This window comes from Homo sapiens, chromosome 13 (genome assembly GCF_000001405.40).
Source record: "Homo sapiens chromosome 13, GRCh38.p14 Primary Assembly".
Classification (NCBI taxonomy): Eukaryota; Metazoa; Chordata; class Mammalia; order Primates; family Hominidae; genus Homo; species Homo sapiens.
The window spans coordinates 52,296,018-52,319,611 of record NC_000013.11 but is presented as its reverse complement, the minus strand read 5'-3'; the positions used below and the strand labels follow the sequence as shown (position 1 = coordinate 52,319,611).

The following is a 23,594-nucleotide window of genomic DNA, read 5'->3' as shown; positions in this document are numbered from 1 at the left end:
GAGATGGGAGGAATTCAGGTTCCTGAAAATTGGTCTCAGAATTATTCATGGGAAAATAGTGTTCTGGACACTGATTCTAAAATTCTTTCTAAAAAGTTAGGTCTTAAGTGAGCTAAGTCATATTTACCATATCCTTCAGATTCAAGGAATTTTGATGTTCAAATACATTGGTCGTATCTCCACTCCATGTGGCAAATCTGTAATATGTTTTTACATTTGGTGTTTAGAGTAAAATACAGCACCCTTACATAGAACTTTATAATAAGCTTCATGTGTTCAGATATAATTGCTACTTTTATGACTAATGCTGTTTCTGTTATACTCAGAAACTTCTTTCCTATCCTAAGATTATAAATATATTCACAAAAATATTTTTTTGTATTTTAATTAATTTTCTACATTTAAATAAAAGAAGTGCTGCTGTTGTTACTATTGTCTCCCCAAATTACTGTTATTTTCTATACACTTCATGCAATGCCAGCTTAACAATGCCTTTAATATGGCCCAAGGATGCTACAAAAGGAAATGCTGGTGTGTATGTCAAAAGACTTTCCTGGCTGGGCATGGTGGCTGACGCCTGTAGTCCCAGCACTTTGGGAGGCCAGGGCGGGTGTATCATGAGGTTAGTAATTCAAGACCAGCCTGGCCAACATGGCGGAACCCCATCTCTATGAAAAATACAAAAATTAGCCAAGCGTGGTGGTGCGTGCCTGTAGTCCCTGCTATTTGTGAGGCTGAGGCAGGAGAACTTGCCTTGAACTTGGGAGGCCGAGGTTGCAGTGAGCCGAGATCGCGCCACTGCACTCCAGCCTGGGCCCCAGAGCGAGACTCTGTCTCAAAAAAAAAAACAACACAAAAACAAAGCAAGCAAAAGAAAAGTAATTGGAACTAGTTTAAACGGAAAACATTAAGTCTAGGAAGTTACATGTTGTCTTACTATGTACGTTTTAAGTTCTTTGGCACTGCTCTGTGTGTGAACTGAGAGTGTCTTCCAGTAGGCTGTCCATTGCAACATGTGATATAAAGGAATACAATTGTACGTGTACATATGAATATACAAACACACACATCCATGCATTCATACACACACGAGAGAAAGAGATTTGGACTATTCACTGTCAGGAGCATCCATGGGAACAAGGAGTTTCCTTGAAACTATTTCTAGAGTCTTCTCAGGGTGAGCTTTGTACGGAATATACTTTTGCTTTTTTGGATGGAGGCAGGAAAATGGGGAAGAACTCAGAGGGAGGCTTATTATGTGAGTGATTGTCACCTTTCCTTTCTGTGGGAATGAGAGTGTACTCGTAGTATGGACCAAGGGAGAAGTGAATCCTGCTTGGAGTGAGAAGGAGATAGGAGGGGACAAAGAGCAGGGAAACCCCAGCAAACAAAAGAACGGAGCTAACAACCCTGGAAGCATTTCACACCCTCCAGAGCTCTGCCATAATGTGAGGCTGACTCCCTTGGCCCATACCCCCCATCACATGGGATGAAGCCCTTGCTTGAGGCCTGCAGCTACTTGGCTATAACTCTTGGGCAGGAAAGACTAGTAGGATGGGTGCAAATTGAGGAGGTGATTGGAGGTGATAGAGAAGGAGGAACTCGGATGGGATTTTAAGAAGGGGACCTACAAACTAAAGTTGAACTGGAATTAAATGCCCTCCAAAAATGCTGTTATACATTGAGGTGTAGATACAGTTACTTAGTCTGGATGGATCGATATGTTCACAGCCTAAGATACTCACTGTTGGCACATAAAACCTCATTTCTAATAAAAAAAAATGCCATCTCAGGTCCTTTTAGTGATATAATACGTGTGAATAATCAAAGTGCAACTGGGGAATAACTCATAGACTAACTGTAGCTATTTGTTGCAAAACATTAGAATGACGCATTGTGTCTGACTCTGACCATATTTGTCCTTTAATCCCTATCCGAATGACCTGGTGGGAGTCATTATTGATCGACCCACCGATGACAGGTGCATTATAAAAGATGGACACATGGCCAGGAGCAGTGGTTCACACCTGGAATCTGAGCACTTGGGGAGACCAAGGCGGGCAGATACCCTGAGGTCAGGAGTTCGAGACCAGGCTGGCAAACACGGTGAAACCCTGTCTTTAGTAAAAATACAACAATTAGCCAGGTGTGTTGGCAGGTGCCTCTAATCCCAGCTACTCGGGAGGCTGAGGCAGGAGAATTGCCTGTACCTGGGAGGTGGATGTTGCAGTGAGCCGAGACTGTGCCACTGCATTCCAGCCTGGGCAGCAGGAGCGAAACTCTTCTTTCGAAAACGAGAAAAAGATGTACACACAAACACACACACAAATCAGTGACAGAGCAGGAGGCTGAGATTACTGGGATTCACTCTCAGGAGTGTTGACGGTATTACAGCGTATCTTTGACACCATTTCTTTATCGTCTCACTGTATCACGTATAGGTAACTTTCATATTTTTACAGTTGTTTAGAAAGAAAGAGAAACACACTATAGAGAGAGGCTTCCGTCTGTTACTGTCTTCTCACCCTTGGTTAGTAACAGTGAAATGCCTTGGAAACTCAGATTTTCTGTGTCTGAGACATACTGGAGTGGGCCACGGGAATAGAGACTCCTATTTGGAGCAAGGAGAAGGTACGCATACTCGGGGAACCGTGAAGCCCTCAGCAGAAAGGAACAAAGCTAAGAGCCTAGGAGGTGTTCTCCAGCCTCCAGAACTCTGGCACCATGGAGGCTGGTGCTCCAAACCTGCTATCACTGTCGTATTGGATTGTGCCCCTGTGTCAGACTTCTAGTGACTTGACTCTGTTTGTGGGACTGGGGAGACACCCATGCTGGTTGAAAGTAAGGGGGTAATGGAGGGCCTTTGAAACAGGACATTCAATGAAATAAGAGGGCTGACTACCTCCAGACAAAATTGAGTTTGAAATAACTGCCACCACAAAGACTGACACGCATTGGGACAGAGGTCATAACGAAGTTTTTTTAAAGCTGGAAGCATTACTATTTTCCCCAGCCTAAGATGTTGGTTGCCATCATATAAATCCCCCTTTCTAATGAAAAAAAAAATGACATTTCAGAACCAAATAGTGCTATACACATGCATAGTCAGAACTTCACTGGTTTATGTGCAGAGTAATGGAAGCTAGTTTCTCCAGAAAAGTCAATTTCAAATTGTGTCTCCTGTCTGACTGTATTCTTTTATCATCCTCTAGTCCACCCACAAATGAATTGACAACAGCAAACCCAGAGGCACGTATCAATGAAAGGTGAGTTATATTTAGACAAATAAAGACACACGTATGCATAACTGTGCATAGAAGTAGTCACACACACACAGGCACAGAAACAAATATGTCCATCCATTCACCCATGCATCCATCCATCCCCACTTCTCTCAAGACACATCCACTAACAAACCCATGCACACAATGGAAACATACAGTAGGACGGATGGACATATGTGGAGTTTCTTCTAGAAGCCTGCATGGCCACAGAGAGTGGTTTTTAACAGGGTTTGCAGTTCTTCTCATGGTAGCCTTTGTAGGTAACACTGCATCCTTTTCTAATGTAGTTGTATAAAAAGGAGCCAGTCATAGGAGAGCTGCGACTTCTTGTTGGTGTATTTGTCACCCTTAGTTCCTACTAAGCAGCTTCTTAAAGGACTCAGTTTTCCTGAGTTTGAGAGCCTACCAGGTTGACACAAGGGAGGAGAGAATCCTATTTGCAACATGAAGGAGATGGCAGCCGACAAGGAGCAGAGAATCCCTGGGCAAAGAATGGAGCTAATGGAACATGGACTTGTCCCTCACACTCCTGAGCTCTGTCAACATGTGAGGTTGGTGCTAAAACACAAACACAAGTACACCACCTCATTGGATGCTGCTCTTCCTCAGGCCCGCAGCTAGTTGCCTGTGTCTCATGGATGGGAAAGACTAACATGATGGGTGAAAGGAAAGACATGATGGAGAGATCCAGGAGGGGGGCCATAGATGGGATTAAAAGGATGACTGCCTACACAGTGAAGTTGAATTTAAAAGAAATTCACCCACAAAAGGCTGTCATGCATTGGTCAGCTCCGGTGGTACAGAGTTTGGTTAACTCTTGAGTCAGTGAGTCTTGGATAGGTGTAAAATGTGTGCTGCAATCGTAGAAAGTATGATGTGTAGGGTAAATGGCATGGCAGATTCCAAAGAACCAAATACACATGTGAATTCCGTAGGATCCAGCAGTTTACAGGTTGAAAAGTAATTGGAAGGCTGGTCACATTGGCTGACGCCTGTGGTCCCAGTGCTTTGGGAGGGCAAGTCAGGTGGATCATGAGATCAGGAGTTCAAGACCAGCCTGGCCAACATGGTGAAACTGCCATCTCTGCTAAAAATACAAAAATTAACCAGGCATGGTGTTGCGTGCCTGTAGTCCCTGCTACTCGGGGGGATGAGGCTGGAGAATTACTTGAACCCGGGAGGCCGAGGTTGCAATGAGCTGAGATCACACCACTGTACTCCAGCCTGGGCGACAGAGCGAGACTCTCTCTAAAAAAAAAAAAAAAAAAAAAACACCAAGCAAAAGAAAAGTAATTGGAACTAGTTTGAACTGTAAACGTTAAGTCTAGGAAGTTACATGTTGTCTTACTGTGTACGTTTTAAGTTCTTGGGCACTGCGCTGTGAGTGAACTGAGAGTGTCTTCCAGTAGGCTGTCCATTGCAACATGTGATATAAAGGAATACAATTATACATGTATATATGCATATACAAACACACACATCCATGCATTCATACACACACGAGAGAAAGAGATTTGGGCTATTCACTGTCAGGAGCATCCATGCCTACAAGGAGTTGCCTTGAAACTATTTCCAGAGTCTTCTCAGGATGAGCTTTTTAAGGAATATTCTTATGCTTTTTGGATGGAGGTGGGAACATGGGGAAGGACTCATAGGGGGAGGCTTATTATGTGAGTGTTTGTCACCTTTCCTTTCTGTGGGAATGAGTGTACTTGTAGTGTGGACCAACGGAGAAGTGAATCCTGCTTGGAGCGAGAAGGAGATAGGAGGGGACAAAGAGCAGAGAAACCCCTGCAAAAAAAAAGAACAGAGCTAATAACCCTCGAAGTTTTTCCCACCCTGCAGAGCTCTGCCATAATGTGAGGCTGACTCCCTTGGCCCATACCCACCATCACATGGGATGAAGCCCTTGCTTGAGGCCTTCAGCTACTTGGCCGTAACTCTTCGGAGGAAAGACTACTAGGATGGGTGCAAATTGAGGAGGTGATTGGAGGTGATAGAGAAGGAGGAAATCAGATGGGATTTTAAGAAGGGGGACCTACAAACTAAAGTTGAACTGGAATTAAATGCCCTCCAAAAATGCTGTTATAAATTGAGGTGTAGATACAGTTACTTCGTCTGGATGGATCCATATGTTCACAGCCTAAGATACTCACTGTTGGCATATAAATCCTCATTTCTAATAAAAAAAAGAAATGCCATCTCAGGTCCATTTAGTGATATACATGCATGTGAATAATCAAAGTGTAACCGGGGAGTAACTCACAGACTAACTGTAGCTATTTGTTGCAAAACATTAGAATGACGCATTGTGTCTGACTCTGACCATATTTGTCCTTTAATCCCTATCCGAATGAAATGGCGGCAGTCATTATTGATCAATCCACCGATGACAGGTACGTTATAAAAGATGTACACATGGCCAGGAGCAGTGGTTCACACCTGGAATCTGAGCACTTTGGGAGACCAAGGCGGGCAGATACCCTGAGGTCAGGAGTTTGAGACCAGGCTGGCAAACATGGTGAAACCCTGTCTCTACTAAAAATACAATAGTTAGCCCAGCATGGTGGCGGGTGCCTCTAATCCCAGCTACTCAGGAGGCTGAGGCAGGAGAATTGCTTGTACCTGGGAGGTGGACGTTGCAGTGAGCCGAGACCGTGCCACTGCATTCCAGCCTGGGCAGCAGGAGCGAAACTCTGTCTCAAAAACAAGAAAAAGATGTACACACAAACACACACACAAATCAGTGACAGAGAAGGAGGCTGAGATTACTGGGATTCACTCTCAGGAGTGTTGACGGTATTACAGCATATCTTTGACACCATTTCTTTATCGTCTCACTGTATCACGTATAGGTAACTTCCATATTTTTACAGTTGTTTAGAAAGAGAAACAGACATAGAGAGAGGCTTCCATCTGTTACTGTCTTCTCACCCTTGGTTAGTAACAGTGAAATGCCTTGGAAACTCAGATTTTCTGTGTATGAGGCATACTGGAGTGGGCTGCAGGAATAGAGACTCCTATTTGGAGCAAGGAGAAGGTATGAGTACTCAGGGAACTGTGAAGCCCTCAGCAGAAAGGAACAAAGCTAAGAGCCTAGGAGGTGTTCTCCAGCCTCCAGAGCTCTGGCACCATGGAGGCTGGTGCTGCAAACCTCCTGTCACCATCGTATTGGATTGTGCCCCTATGTCAGACCTCTAGTGACTTGACTCTGTTTGTGGGGCTGGGGAGACAGCCATGCTGGTTGAAAGTATGGAGGTAATGGAGGGCCTTTGAAACAGGACATTCAATGAAATAAGAGGGCTGACTACCTCCAAACAAAAGTTGAGTTTGAAATAACTGCCACCACAAAGACTGACACGCATTGGGACTGAGGTCATAATAAAGAAGTTTATTTAAATCTGGAAGCATTACTGTTTTCCCCAGCCTAAGATGCTGGTTGCCATCATACAAATCCTCCTTTCTAATGAAAAAAAAATGACATTTCAGAACCAAATAGTGCTATACACATGCATAGTCAGAACTTCACTGGTTTATGTGCAGAGTAATGAAAGCTATTTTCTCCAGAAAAGTCAATTTCAAATTGTGTCTCCTGTCTGACTGTATTCTTTTATCATCCTCTAGTCTACCCACGAATGAATTGACAACAGCAAACCCAGAGGCACGTATCAATGAAAGGTGAGTTATATTTAGACAAATAAAGACACACGTATGCATAACTGTGCATAGAAGTAGTCACACACACACAGGCACAGAAACAAATATATCCATCAATCCATCCATGCATCCATCCATCCATCCCCACTTCTCTCAAGACACGTCCACTAACAAACCCATGCACACAATGGAAACATAAAATAAGGAGTCGGATGGACATATGTGGAGTTTCTTCTAGAAGCCTGCATGGCCACAGAGAGTGGTTTTTAACAGGGTTTGCAATTCTTCTCATGGTAGCCTTTGTAGGTAACACTGCATCCTTTTCTAATGTAGTTGTATAAAAAGGAGCCAGTCATAGGAGAGCTGCGACTTCTTGTTGGTGTATTTGTCACCCTTAGTTCCTACTAAGCAGCTTCTTAAAGGACTCAGTTTTCCTGAGTTTGAGAGCCTACCAGATTGACACAAGGGAGGAGAGAATCCTATTTGCAGCATGGAGGAGATAGCAGCCGACAAGGAGTGTGAAGCCCTGGGCAAAGAATGGAGCTAATGGAACATGGACTTGTCCCTCACACTCCTGAGCTCTGTCAACATATGAGGTTGGTGCTAAAAAACAAACACTGGCACGCACCTCATTGGATGCTGCTCTTCCTTAGGTTCGCAGCTAGTTGCCTGTGTCTCATGGACGGGAAAGACTAGCATGATGGGTGAAAGGAAAGACGTGATGGAGAGATCCAGGAAGGGGGCCATAGATGGGATTAGAGGGATGACTGCTTACACAGTGGAGTTGAATTTAAAAGAAATTCACCCACAAGAGGCTGTCATGCATTGGTCAGCTCCGGTGGTAGAGAGTTTTGGTTAACTCTTGAGTCAGTGAGTCTTGGATAGGTGTAAAATGTGTGCTGTAATCATAGAAAGTATGATGTGTAGGGTAAATGGCATGGCTGATTCCAAAGAACCAAATACACACGTGAATTCTGTAGGGTAGAGCAGTTTACAGGCTGAAAAGTAATTGGAAGGCCAGGCGCGTTGGCTGATACCTGTGGTCCCAGTGCTTTGGGCGGTCAAGTCGGGTGGATCACGAGGTCAGGAGTTCAAGACTAGCCTGATCAACATGGTGAAACCCTGTCTTTACTAACAATACAAAAATTAGCCAGGCGTGGGGCATGCGCCTGTAGTCCCTGCTACTCGGGAGGCTGAGGCAGGAGAATTACTTGAACCTGGGAGGCAGAGTTTGTAGTTAGTCGAGATCATGCCACCGGACTCCAGTGTGGGTGACAGAGTGAGACTCTGTCTCGAAAGAAAAAAAAAAATAAAGAAAAAGAAAATTAATGCAAACTACATTGAACTGAAAATGTTAAGTGTAGGAAGTTACATGTTGTCTTACTATAAACGTTTTAAGTTCTTTAGCACTGCGCTGTGTGTGAACTGAAAGTATCTTCTAATAGGCTGTCCATTGCAACATGTGACATGAATACAATTGTATATGTATATATGCATATACAAACACACACATCCATGCATTCATATACACTAGAGAGATTGCGATTTGGGCTATTCACTGTCAGGAGCATCCATGGGAACAAGGAGTTCCCTTGAAACTATTTCCAGAGCCCTCTCAGGATGAGCTTTGTACGGAATAGTCTTTTGCTTTTTGAATGGAGGTAGGAAAATGGGGAAGAACTCATAGAGGGAGGCTTATTATGTGAGTGATTGTCACCTTTCCTTTCTGTGGGAATGAGACTGTTCCAGTAGTGTGGACCAAGAGAGAAGCAAATCCTCCTTGGAGTTAGAAAGTGATAGGAGTGGACAAAGAGCAGAGAAACACCAGCAAAAAAAGAGAACAGAGCTAATAACCCTGGAAATATTTCACACCCTCCAGAGCTCTGCCATAATGTGAGGCTGACTCCCTTGGCCCATACCCACCATCACATGGGATGAAGCCCTTGCTTGAGGCCTGCAGCTACTTGGCCGTAACTCTTGGGCAGGAAAGACAACTTGTTGCTGGAAATCAGGGACCCTGAGTGGAGGGACTGGTTGAAGCTGTGGCAGAAGAACATAAGTTATGAAGATTTCATGGACATTTATTAGTTCCCCAAATTAATACTTTTATAATTTATTCTGCCTGTCTTTACTGCAGTCTCTGAACATAAATTATGAAGATTTCATGGACATTTATCACTTCCCTAGTCAATACTCTTATAATTTCCTATGCCTGTATTTACTTTAATCTCTTAATCCCGTCATCTTCGTAAGCTGAGAAGGTAGGTCGCCCCAGGGTCCTGTGATGATTGCATTATCTTTGCAAATTGTTTGTAAAACATGTGTGTTTGAACAATATGAAATCTTGGCATCCTAGAAAAGAACAGGCTAACAGCGATTTTCAGGGAACAAAGGAGATAACTATAAGGTCTGACTGCCTGCGGGGCCGGGCAGAACAGAGTCTTATTTCTCTTCTTGGAGAAAGCAAGTAGGAGAAGTATCACTGAATTCTTTTCCCAGCAAGGAATAACCCTGGGAAAGGAATGCATTCCCAGGGAGAGGTCTATAAATGGCCGCTCTGGGAGTGTCTGTCTTACGCAGTTGAAGATAAGGGATGAAATACGCCCTGGTCTCCTGCAGTGCCCTCAGGCTTGCTAGGATTAGGAAATTCCAGCCTGGCGAATTCTAGTCGGACCTGTTGTCTGCTCTGGAACTCTGTTTCCTGTTAAGATGTTTATCAGTGACAATGGGTGCCCAGTGGGACATGGAACCTCATCAATAATTCTAATTTCGCCCTGGCCTTGTGATCTTGCTCTGCCTGTCTTCCCTTGTGATCTTTTATTGGCCTTTCAAGCATGTGATCTTGTAACTTACTCCCTGTTCATACCCCCCTCCCCTTTTGAAATCCCTAATAAAAACTTGCTGGTTTTGCGGCTCAGGAGGCATCACTGAACCTGCCAACATGTGATGTCAGCCCTGGAGCCCCAGCTGTAAAATTTCTCTCTTTGTACTCTTTCTCTTTATTTCTCAGACTGGCTGACACTTAGGGAAAATAGAAAAGAATCTATGTTGACATACTGGGGGCAGGTTCCCCCGATAACAACTAGGATGGGTGAAAACTGAGGAGGTGATAGAGAATGAGGTACTCAGATGAAATTATAAGAAGGGGACTTAAAACTAAAGTTGAACTGGAATTAACTGCCCTCGAAAAAGGTTGTTACACATTGAGGTGAAGATGCAGTTACTTAATCTGGATGCATCGCTATGTTCACAGCCCAAGATATTCACTGTTGGCACATAAAACCTCATTTCTAATAAGAAAAAATTTCATCCCAGTTCAATAAGTGTATGCAAGGAATCACTCATAGAGTTAGTGTAGCTCTTTGATTCAAAACATTAGAATAATGTGTCCTGTCTGACTCTGATCATGTTTTTCCCACAGTCCCCATCCTGTTGACCTGGTGGAAGTCATCATTGATAGAGACACCCATGACATGTGAGTTATAAAGGATGTACACACAAACAAAACAGTGACAGAGAAAGATATTCAGATTAGTGGGATTTGCTCTCAGGAGTGTCCATGGCAATACAGAGTGTCTTGGACACAGTTCATCTTCTCACTGTAGCACCTATAGTTAAACATCCACATTTTTACAATTGTTTTGGATAAAAGAGGAACAGAGTATCCGGCTGTTACTGTCTTTTCACCATTTGTTAGTAGCAGCCAAATGCCTTGAAAACTCATTTTCTGTGTATGAGACATACTAGAGTGGGCCGAGGGAAGAGAAAATCCTATTTGGAGCAAGGAAGAGGTAGGAGTACTCGGGTAACTGTGAAGTCCTCAGCAGAAAGGAACAGAGCTAAGAGACTTGGAGGTGTTCTCCAGCCTCCAGAACTCTGCCACCATGGAGGCTGGTGCTCCGGACCTTATATCACCACCATATCAGGTTGTGCGCCTGTGAAAAACCTTTAGTTACTTGATGCATTTTTTGGGGCTGGGGGAGACGCCCATGCTGGGTGAAAGTAACAAGGTAATGGAGGATTTTTGAAGCAGGACATTCAATGGATTAAGAGGGCTGACTACCTAAAAATTGGAGTTGAGTTTGAAATAACTGCCACCACAAAGGCTGTCACACATTGGGATGAGGTTGTAATGAAAAGGTTTACTTAAATCTGGAAGCATTACTATTTTCTCCATCCTAAGATGGTGGTAGCCATCATATAAATCCTGATTTCTGATAAAAAATGATATTTCAGGTCCACATAGTGCTGTACACATGAATAGTCAGAAATTAACCAGTTTATGTTTAGAGTAATGAAAGCTAGTTTTTCCCGAAAAGTAAATTTCGAATTATGTCACCTGTCTGACTGTATTCTTTTATCATCCTCTAGTCCCCACACAAGTGAACTGACAGGAGGAACCAAGGAGGCACGTATCTACGAAAAGTGAGTTATAAATAAATAAAGACACATGTATGCGTAAGTGTGCATAGAAGTATATACACATGCACAGGCATGTAAACAAATCTATCCATCCATCTATACACACTTCTCTCAACACACGTACACAAACAAACCCATGCACACAATTGAATCTTAAAACAAGGAGACAGATGGACATTTGTGGAATTTTCTCTCAGGACCCTGCATGGCCATACAGTGTTTTTTAACAGGGTTTCCAGTTCTTCTCGTTGTAGCATTTGTAGGTAACTTTGCATCCTTTTTTGATGGAGTTATATAAAGAGGGGCAAGTCATAGAAGGTTGCTTCTTCCTGTTAGTGTATTCATCACCTTTAGTTCTTAGTAAGCAGTTTTTTAAGGGACTCAGAGTTCCTGAGTTCGAGAGCCTACCAGAGTGGCCCAGGGGAGGCGAGAATCCTATTTGCAACATGGAGGAGATAGCAGCAGACAAGGAGCAGTGGAGCCCTGGGCAGAAAGGAATGGAGCTAATGGAACATGGACTTGTCCCTCACCGTCCAGACCTCTGTCAACATGTGAGGTTGGTGCCCAGACCCAACCCCAAACCCACCAGCTCATTGGATGCAGCCCTTCTTTAGGCCCACAGCTACTTGCCTGTGTCTCATGGACAGGAAAGACTAGCATGATGGGTGAAAGGAAGGACATGACGGATGGTTTTCACAGGCATGTTCAGACTTCTACTGGAAATAAATCATAAAAAATGTAAGTTACAGGGAAAACCTGATGCAAGTTAATTATAGTGTAATGCTCAAGAAAATTTACAAAATTAATTAGATGTTACAGAAGCTATAAAAAGATTGTGTTTGATCAGTGACTAATTTTTAAAGAGGTTCTTTGTGCTATGTATTACCACTTCTTTTGCAAGGAAACATCAAGATTGTGAATTCTGTAATTGCTCATTAAGCAGTAGTACATCAGTTGAATATGTAGTATTGATTTCTTAAGCCAGTAAATAAAAATTTTCTCTATTCATTTTATAGTACAGTGGAGGCATGGGTGAATTAAAATATATTTCTAATATGTAGATAGGTTTAATTTTTATATAGTCATTTAATTGTTTAATTAATTGGCCATTGAAAAATGAGTCTTTGTTAATTGTTGGAATTTACTTACTGGACTTACGTGGTAGGATTTGCATACCCTCACCCATTACATATGTGTATAGTTGATATTTTATTTTTATGGAAAAACTACTTTTGGTGCAAAAATTGTTTTTGCTACTAGTGTCAAAAAAAGAGAAAATCATGTGGTGTTTATATGGCTCTGTACCTTTTTACTCCATGAGCACTGCCTTCAGTGAAATGACAATAACTCATGCAGCATCCTTCAACAAAAAGTGAGGTCTAAATAAATTAAAAGCTAGATGTAAACATATATATATGTAAATATACACATAGACACACACACACAAAAGCATACATGTACAGAAGAGAGATTCAGATTTGGCAAGTTCATTGTCTGGAGCACCCATAAGAATACAGAGTGTCTTAGACACTGTTTTCTAAAGTCTAATTACTTTAGTATCTGCAGTTACCTTTCTATCCTTTTTGGATCTAGTTGGATAAAAAAGGAACAGGTCATAAGAGCAATGCTTCTTATTCCTATTGCATTGGTCACTCTTATTTAGCAGTAGCCAAAAACCTTAGGAAAATATGAGTGAGCCAAGAGAGGAGACAGTCCTATTTTTAGCATGGAGGAGGTAGCAGTGGGCAGGGAGCTGAGGAGCTCTTAACAGAAAAGAACAAAGCTAGTAGAACCCTGATCTCTTCCTCTATTACCACATGAGGTTACTGTCCCAAAGGCAAACCCACCATCAGATTGGATGGAGCCCCTGCCTTAGGTCTGCAGTTACTTAACCGTATCTGAGGGGCAGAAAAGACATCCATGATTGGTGAAGAGTTATTGGTATTTGAACTTGAGAAGGCAGAAACTTACAAGTGCAAGCAAGGTGGGTGTTTACAAACTGAAGTTGAACTTATGTAAATTTTGCCAGAAATGGTAACTTGGGGATTAGGGTTAGGAGTAAAGAAATGTATATAAACTTCACTCATTAAGTTTTTTTCCACAGGCCTAAGAATTTCATTGCAAACATCTGAAACCTCGTTTCTAGAGAAAAGTTAAATACCAGGTTTCAAATAAATAATTGATTAAGATGTCAATTTTTAGGGTAACTAGATTATAAATTGTAGAGTAATTATTACTCATTTGTGTCAGAAAAATAGTCTAGGAAGACATGTGGAGTCTTCCTATATTCATTTTTAATCATTTAGCTATTACCCCATTGAACTAAAAAGAGTAGTCTGTGGTAGAGTCATCAATATATGGGGAGAAAGAAAAGAGGGAGATAATGAGATTGGTAAGATTCACTCACAAATGAAGTAATAAAGAATTGTACTTAAATTTTGATTCACTAGGCTGTTTGTTAAGGCCCAAAAGCTTTTTTACATTATGTAAGGCTTTCTTTTAGGGAAAAAAAATGATATATTAATACTAGATTCCAAGTAATTAATTGACATATACGTTTTCAGAGTTCAACCAGTTTATAAATGCAGTAGAACAATTGTACATAACTTCAACCAGAAAAGCAAGTCTCTGAAGTCGCTTGATCTGGCATGTACCTTTTTAATCCTTAGCACTGGCCCAGATAAAATGACATCAGTAGTCTTTCACTACTTTGATATATCTGCTGTAACTCACCTTTCAATGGTGGTGTCATTGAAGACAACTGATGTTATTAATCTGGGTCATTGCTAAAGAATATATCTATACACACACACACACATACACACACACGTGAATATATGTATGTGTGTATATATATATATATATAGGTATATCCTTTATATATATATTTAGTATATATAGATACCTACATACATGTATGTGTGTATATGTATGAACATATCTATATACATATATCTATATGTGCATATATAGATATATACATATCTTTATGTACATATATGTATCTATATAGATATATTCTATAGCACTGACCCCAATTAATAACATCAGTAGTCTTTTATGTATATATACTTTAGCATATAGACATGCATGTATATATATAGATACGTATATGTAGATATATTGTTTAGCATATATGTATACATATACAGTAGATATGTACACGTGTGTGTGTATACATGTATACCTTATGTTATTGTGCTTTACTTTATTGCCCCTCAGATATTACTTTTTTATAAACTGAAGGTTTGTAGCAACCTTGCATTGAGCAAGTCTCTTGGTTTCATTTTTCCAACAACACGTGCTCACTTTGTGTCTCTGTGTCACATTTTAGTAACTCTTGCAATATCTTAAACTCTTTTTTTGAGACAGACTCTCGCTCTGACACCCAGGCTGGAATGCAGTGGCACGATCTCAGCTCACTGCAACCTCAGCCTCCCGGGTTCAAGCGATTCTCTGCCACAGCCTCCTGAGTAGCTGGGATTACAGGCACCTGCCACCACGCCCGGCTAATTTTTATATTCTTAGTAGAGACGGGGTTTCACCATGTTCGTCAGGCTGGTCTCAAACTCCTGACCTCGTGATCCGCCTGCCTTGGCCTCCCACAGTGGTGGGATTACAGGCGTGAGCCACCACGCCCAGCCTATTTTAAACTTTTTTGTTGTTATCCTATCTCTTATGATCTGTGATCAGTGATCGTTGACGTTACTATTGTAATTGTTTGGGGGCAACATGAACATGAACCATGTCCTATAGGACAACTACCTTAATCAATGCCATGTGTTTTTTGACTGCTCCACTGAGTAGCCATTCCCCATCTCTCTCCCTCTTCTTGGGCCTCCCTACTTCCTAAGACACAACAATATTGAAAGTAGGCCATTTAATAAGTCTATGAGGGTTTCTAAGTGTCCTAGTGAAAGGAAGAGTCAGAAGCCTCTCACTTTAAACTAAAAGCTAAAAATGATTGTGAGGAAGGCTAGACTTCTTGCACCAGTCAGACAAGTTGCGAATGCAAAATACGTGTATATATTCTCAAAGAAAATTAAGACTGCTACTCCAGTGAACATACAAATGATGAGGAAGCAAAACAGGCTGATTGCTAATATGGAGAAGGTTTTAGCGGTCTGGATAGAAGATCAAAGCAGCCATAGCCTTTCCTTAAGCCAAAGCCTAATCCAGGACAAGGCCCCCTCTCTCTGCAATTCAGTGATGGCTGAGAGAGGTAAGTAAGTTGCAGAAGAAAAGCTTGAAGCTAACAGGTTGGTTCATGAAGTTTAAGGAAAGAAGCCATCTCCATAACATAAAAGTGCAAGGTGAAACGCAAGTGCTGTTATCCAGCAGCAGCAAGTTATCCAGAAGATGTAGCTGAGACAATTGATGAAGGTGGCTACACGAAACAACAGATTTTCACTGTAGACAAGATAGCCTTTTTTATTGGAAGAAGATGCCATCCAGGACTTTTATATTTGGAGAGAAGTCAATGCATGGTTTCAAAGCTTCAAGGCACAGGCCGATTCTCTTTTAGGGGCGAATGAAACTGGTGACTTTAAGTTGAGGCCAATGATCATTGACTGTTCTGAAAATCCTAGGGCCCTTACGAGTTATGCTAAATCAAGCAAGATGGGTGACTAGAGATGCCTTGTGCTCATCTCCCCTGCAAGAAAACCCAGGAACAAATACACATCTAAGGTCTGATTAGAGTATCAAAGGGATAGTCCTGGAGCGCAGCAAAGGAGTGGAGGAGACACACCTGTGGTGACTGGAAGGCCCCACAGCATGGAAGCACTCAGCCTCTGCAGTCCCTTCTCCCCCACCTGGGTTGAACTGGCCCAGAGACAGGAAGGACTTCTCATTGCAGAGTGAAGGTAAGCAGAAGATCCCCACCAGCCCCACTGCCATCACAAACACAGAGTCTTAAGGAAAATCTCACAGTATTTGCAAGCCCTGAGGCCAGTATGGAGTACTGCCAGGAATTTACACAGCTGCATGTCCTGGACTAGGAGTACAAGGTGAAGGCTTCCCACCCCCAGAGACCTAAGTTGCAGCAACACAGCACCATCTTGAGACCAGAGTCATCTCTTGAGTGTGCCCTACTCTGGGGGCCAGTAGCCACTGTGCGTCTCCAGCACTGGAGCTTTACCTTCAGTATACCAAGCCCACATGGGTGGGTTAAAGCCACAACCCCAGCTGTGTGGAGGTTGGTCCCAGAATTGGCGGTAACTCAAGTCCTGAAGAGCAGGGAGAAATCAACCCCCACCACTACACTTCCAGACAGAGAAACAATCTGCACTCCCATCCAGGGTGAACTCACCCTTGAGCTAGCCAAACCACTACATGCCTTCTCTCAAGTGGGAGCGTCCCCTAAGCCTCTGAGCAGCTGATATACCCCAAGGTCAAGAGAGTGACTATGAGTGCATGCTCAGGACCTGAGAAACAGCCCTGCAGGCCTCATCCACCACAGACATGCTCCTGACCTGCCCAGCCGCCCTCCGCCTTTAATAAAGGCCTGAGAAACAGTCCCACAGGCTGCCGCGAGCAGGCACAGCACTGAGTGGGCCTTGAACCTGTGTCTCAGACCTGAGAAACAAGCAGCTGTGTGTGCCTGAGTCTCAGGGCTGAGAAACAACCCTGGGAGCTTACTCTGGCCAGCATACCCTCAGGCCAAATAAGCAGCCACATACCTATGTCCCAGCTTGAGGAACAGCCCTGTAGGCCACCCCCCGCAGAAATACTCCCAGGCCAACTAAGCAGCTGTGCAACCTTTCATGAGCCCGAGAAACATTCCTGTACCCATTCCCAGCGGATGCACCTCCAGACCAGCCAATCAGCCATGAATGCCCATGTCCTGGACCTGAGAAAGAGCCCCATGGGCTACTCCCAGAAGACATGCCCCTAGGCCAGCCAAGCAGCCTTGTGCCCACATCCTGGGTCATAGAAGCAGCCCCCTGGGCTTCCCCTGGCAGGCACCACCCAGGCCAGCTGAGCAGCAGTGTGCCCACATCCTGAGCTAGAATAGCCCTGTGGACTACCCCTAGCAGACCCACATCCAGGACAGCTGAGAAATTATTTGACTGTATCCCAGGCCTGAGAAACACCCCCTCTTGGCCAGCCCTGGCAAAGATGCCTTCGGTCCAGCTTAGTAGCCGTGCAGCTCTATATTTGGCCCATGAGTTTCCCCCAGCAGACTGGCCTCGGGCCAGATGAACAGCTGTGTATCCACATACCAGGCATGGGAAACAGCCCTTCAGGCCACTCCTGGAGTGCGTGCTTCCAGGCCAGGCAAACAGCTGTGTGCCTGCATCCTGGGCTTGAGCAACTGCATCCCCATGCTCCTGGCCAGAGTAACAGCACCATGGCCAGCCCCACAAAGCCATACTCCAAGTTTTCTGACCCACTGTATACCTGCATACACCTCTACCCTGAGAAACAGTCCAGAGAGCCCACCCCTGGCAAAGCTGCACCACCATTACCACAAACTTCCTTAGCCTAGGCCACTGAGAAACTTGCAAATGTTACTAGTGTGGATCACAGCGGAATGAACTATATGGAGACTACACTTTACTGCATCCATGTAGAACCAAGGCCAATATACCCCAATGAACTGACACCCAAGACCCATTCATACAAATAAATTCATACAAGTAACCTACTCCATAAAATTGGAAAAGGTGACTTTTTCACCAGACGCATAGAAATCAGCATAGAAACACATCAACCATGAAAATGCAAGAAAACAGGTCACCTACAAAGGGAAATAATAATTATGTAGTAATGGACCCCAATCATAAACATATGAAATGCCAGAAAAAAAATTCAAAAGAATAATCCTAAGGAAACTCAGTGAGATATAGGTAATACAGATAGACAAGTCAATGAAATCAGGAAAACATGATTTGAATGAGAAATTCAGTAAAGATAGAGATATCATAAAAAGAACCAAACAAGCCCTAAGAACTAAACAGTTCAATAGAAGAAATAAAAAATGAAATCAATGACTTTACAGACAAGAACAAGCAGAAGAAGTAATTTCTGAACTTGAAGAGAAGTCTTTTGAAATAACACAGGCAGAGAAAAAAGAATAAAAAATAATGAAAAAAGCCTACAGGATTTATTGGACACTGTTAATTTGAACAAATATTCCTATTATGGGCATTCCAGAAGGAAAAGTGAAGAGAAATGTGAGGAAAACATATTTAATAAAGTGATAGCATAAAACTTCCCAACTCAAGAGAGAGAGATAGACATCTAGTTCTAGGAAGATCAAAGAACCCCAAATACATTCAACCCAGACACAAAGACAAAGATTTTTTAAGATAGCAAGAGAAAAGCCTGAAAGCGCTTATAATGGAATTCTCGTTAGACGAACAGCTGATTTCCCGGCAGAAACCTTAGGCTGGAAAGGAATGGGATGATATATGCAAAGTTCTGAAAGAAAAAAAAAAAATCTTTCAACCAAGAATATTATACCCAGTGCAGCTATCTTTTACAAATGAAGGAGACATAAAATCTGTGACAGATAAACAAACACCAAGATAATTCATCACCACTAGACCAGCCTTACAAGAAATGCCCAAGGCAGTCTTACTTCTGGAAGTAAAAAGATGATAACCACCATCATAAAAACATGTAAAACTTTAAACGCCACTGATAGAGTCAATACATAGAAAGAGAAAGGGATGAAACCTTATCACTACAGAAAACTACCCAACTACAAAAGTAAACAGAGAGGCAGAAAGGAACAAAACATATACAAACCAACCAGAAAACAATAAAATGTCGCAAATAACTCCTCACCTACCAATAACAACTTTGAATGTTAATAGATTAAATACCCCAAGAAGGATATAGACTTGCTGAGTGGATTAAAAAATAAGACCCAACTGGGCACAGTGGCTCACGCCTGTAATCCCAGCACTTTGGGAGGCCGAGGCGGGCGGATCAGGAGGTCAGGAGTTCGAGACCAGCCGGGCCAATATGGTGAAACCCCATCTCTACTAAAAATACAAAAAATCAGCTGGGCGTGGTGGTGGGCACCTGTAGTCCCAACTACTCGGGAGGGTGAGGTAAGAGAATGGCATGAACCCGGGAGGCAGAGCTTGCAGTGAGCTGAGATCGTGCCACTGCACTCCAGCCTGGGTAACAGAGCGAGACTCTGTCTCAAAAAATAATAATAAAAATAAGACCCAACTATATTTTATCTAAAAGAAACTCACCTTACCTCTAAAGAAACACATAGACTGATAATGAAGGGATGGAAAAAGATATTCCATGCAAATGGAAACCAAAAGTGAGCAGGAATAGCTATACTTATATCAGTCAAAACAGACTTTAAGTTAAAAACCATAAAAAGTGACACACAAGATTATTATGTAATAATAAAGGGTTCAATTTAGCAAGAAATAGAACATAATTGTAATATGTGTATAATATAATTTTAAATATGTATGCACTCAACACCAGAGCACCCAGATATATATAGCAAATATTAGTAGATCTAAAGAGGGAGCTAGAACCCGTTACAATAAGAGTTGGGCACTTCATTATCCCACTCTCAGCACTGGACAAATCATCTAGATGGAAAATCAACAGAGAAACATCAGACTTAAACTGCACCATAGACCAAATGGCCATAACAAACATTTACAGAACGTTTCACATAACAGCTGCAGAATATACATTCTTTTCATCAGCACATGGAACATTATCCAAGATAGACCATATGTTAGGCCACAAAACAAGTCTCAACACATTTTTAAAAACTGAAATTATATCAGGTATCTTATCTTACCACAATGGAATAAAACTAGACATCCATAACAAGAGGAACATTCAAAACTATACAGATATATGGAAATAAAACAACATGCTCTTGAGTGACAAGGAGTGAAGAAAGAAATTAAGTATGAAATTTAAAAATTCCTTGAAACAACTGTAACTAGAAACACAACCTACCAAAACATAAGGGACACAGCAAAAGCAGTATTAGGAAGCATGTTCATAGCAATAAATGGCTGGATCAAAAAACTAGAAAAATTTCCAATAAACCACCTAACAATTCTACCTCAAGAAACTAGTATGGTAAGAACAAACTAAATCCCAAATTATTAAAAGGAACTGAATAATAAAGACCAGACAGAAATAAACAAAATTCAGGCAAAATTTACAAAAGGTTAACAACAAAAAGCAGGTTTAAAAATATCAACAAACCATTAGCTAGACTAATTAAGAAAAAGAGAAGACCCATATAAATAAAATCAGAAAGAAAAAATGGGACCTCACAACAGATATGACAGAAATAAAAAGGATTATTAGAGACTATTATGAACAACTCTACAATAAATTTGAAAACCTAGAGGAAGTGGATAAAATCCTCGACCCATACAACCTGCCAAGACTAAACCAAGAAGAAATAGAAAACCTGAACAGACCAAAAAGAAGTAATGAGATTGAATCAGGAACAAAAAGGCCTTCAACAAAGTCCAGGATCTGATGACTTCACCACTTAACTCCACCTACTTTTAAAAATGAACTAATATCAATTCTTACACTATTTCAAAAAATTAAAGCAGAGGAAAGTCTTCCTAACTCATTCTATATAAGTAAACTATGGTTGATAAAGTAGTGGTAGGATTTGAGAGGATTCACTCCAATTTTGAAAACAGTTCTACTGTGGGTAAAATGCTATCAAATGGCATCACATGTTACAGAGAAATCACCTGTGAAAGGAAGAGTCATTTGATATAGTGAAGTTCGTTGTTGTCTTATTTTAAGAAATTGCCTCAGCCACCCCAACCGTTGGCAACCACAGCTCTGATCAGTCAGCAGCCATCAACATGGAGGCAACGCCCTCCACCAGCAAAAAGATTATGACTTGCTAAAGGCTCAGGTGATCATTAGCATTTTTTTAACCAATAAAGTAGTTTTACTTTAAGGTATGTACATAATTTTTTTTGACATAATGTCGTTGCACACTTAACAGACTACAGTGTAGTATAAACATAACGTTTATATGCACAGGGAAACCAAAACATTTGTGTGAGTCACTTAATGCAGTTTTTGCTTTATTGCAGTGGTCTGGAATGAAACCCACAATGTCTTTGTGATATGTCTATACACATTTATGTATTCTATAACTATATACATATTCTTTTAATTACCTTTATATACATATATAGAAAGAGACAGAGAGAGAAAAGAAGAGAAAAATATGCAAAATTCAGCGTTGGGAGTATCTGTGAGAATAGTTTCTGGTTAATGACTGTAATTTTCTTTCTTAAATGTCAGGTCTTCCAGTGAGCTAAGTCATGTTTACTATATCCTTTAGATTCATGGAATTCTTGTTATTCAAATAAATTCTTCATCACTGTTTTGTGTAGCAAATATCTAATGATATATTTTTGCATTTTTTTGGTGGCTAAAGTGTGTCAGAACGACTTTCCAGGTTTGAAGATTATGAAAATGCTGAATATGTCGCTTCATATGAGTAAGTCAGTTTGAAGTTTGAAAGGAGGGAGCCATTGATGGATCTCTTTTCTTTAGTTGAACAGGGCTTACGCTGAGGCACAAAGGAAAAAGGGAAACTACGGAAGGATATCAAAATGTATGGGTGTGTGGGTGGGAGAGTACACCATATTTCCTCCAATTGAATTCTTAGACAAGTATTATTTTGAAAAAAAATTCCATCCATTCAGGAATAAATGTTCTTCTAGCTTGAAAATGTAAAAAGTATCCTTAGAAGAAATTAACTTCATTAGAAGTTTTTTTTTTTTTAAAGAAAACAGGAATGCAGAATGTTACTTACTCATCAATAGTGAACCTTTCTCATTTTTACTGGATATTGTGCGATTCCCAGTTTTGTAGATTTCACCTATGAGCAAGTGGTATTGATAGCAAAAGCAAACATGTTTTGCTGACTAAAGACCTCTTTATGCTCACTGGGATTTTGTTATTATTTGTTTCTAATCTCACTAGAGTACTGAGTACTCCTATTGCACTGACCTGAAGGCATTTTACCATGTACTCACTGTAACGAAACAACACATTCTTAAACTGGCTTGTGTCTGAACTGCAGACATATTCAGGAGATTTTTCTTCTGCTTCTTTCTTGCCCAGTTGTATAACCATTCACCAGCTTATGTCAATGTTGGAGAGGAAGTGCTGCCATAGAGGAAGTTAACTCATCATGGTTATAAGCTGTTGGTGTCTAAACAAAGATTACATGGGAAACAGAGGGCAAATACAAATAGTTCTTCAAATTACCCTGAGTTTTCATTTTCTAGAAATTTTTATCATGGGCCATCAGTGAAGAATTCACGGCACCACTTAATTAAACTGTGTGTCTGCATACTAGCTATACATTTTCTGTAATGGAGCTGCCCAGGGTTGAGGCAAAATTAGACAGATTGAGCAAGGCAAGCATTTCCTTTTTCTTTCCCCTCTCCAAACAAAAGAAAGCAGGTTTTTGTTTTGTTTTATTTTTAAGTTACAAAGTCTCATTGCATAAATATAGGAGGAATTGGTAGTAGTCCCTGTGAGAAACACTGGTGTTTCATACCAGGGGGATGATCTTGGATTTATAGTAAAAGCTGGAATCAGTGCTTGGCTTTGACATCATGTATTCATTCATCTGATACTCAGGAAGTCATTGAACCTCTTTTAGTTTTAGATTATTCAAATGTAAACTGGTTATAATGCTATCTATGTAGTGGATATTGTATTGTAAAAAATTAGTAATAAAACTAAAATAACATGCAAAAACACTTTGAAAACTCTGTAGCTCTGTGAATAGGTTTTGTGCGAAAAACTGAAAATAATGTGAGAGTTTATTAAAGGAAAATCAGAAAATCCAATCAACAAATCTGCCCACATGCAGTCATTCTTAAACTTTGATACATGCACTTCTGAGTTCTTTAAGCATATGCATTTTTTGTTTGCAGATACGAGACCATACTTATATTCTTTTGTAAATAACCTTATTACTTAATGACATCATATCTATATTTTCTTGTTAATGTATATTCATGTGCACTTACAACATTATTTGTAATAGTTTTGTAATACTGCATGGTGTAGATGTGCTATAATTCATTTAATAGTCAGATATTGCTGAACAATTAAGTTTTTTACAAGTTTTTACTGTTACAAAAAATATTTGAGGCTAAATCTTTGCATATCGTTGGTTATTTGCTTATTATAAATTCTCAGAAGTGGAAATCCTGTGTCAAAGGGAAT

At 41.1% G+C, this 23,594-nt stretch overlaps 1 pseudogene across 1 annotated transcript in view; it reads left to right on the top strand.

Moving 5' to 3' along the window:
* TPTE2P2 (TPTE2 pseudogene 2) overlaps window positions 1-23,594 on the top strand; it is a 104,605-nt pseudogene that overhangs the window by 3,724 nt on the left and 77,287 nt on the right. The window contains exons 3-7 of the transcript XR_007063808.1: window positions 3,213-3,266; window positions 6,909-6,962; window positions 10,363-10,416; window positions 11,313-11,366; window positions 21,784-21,846. The product of XR_007063808.1 is annotated as a TPTE2 pseudogene 2 (transcript). The remainder of the gene's footprint in view (window positions 1-3,212; window positions 3,267-6,908; window positions 6,963-10,362; window positions 10,417-11,312; window positions 11,367-21,783; window positions 21,847-23,594) is intronic.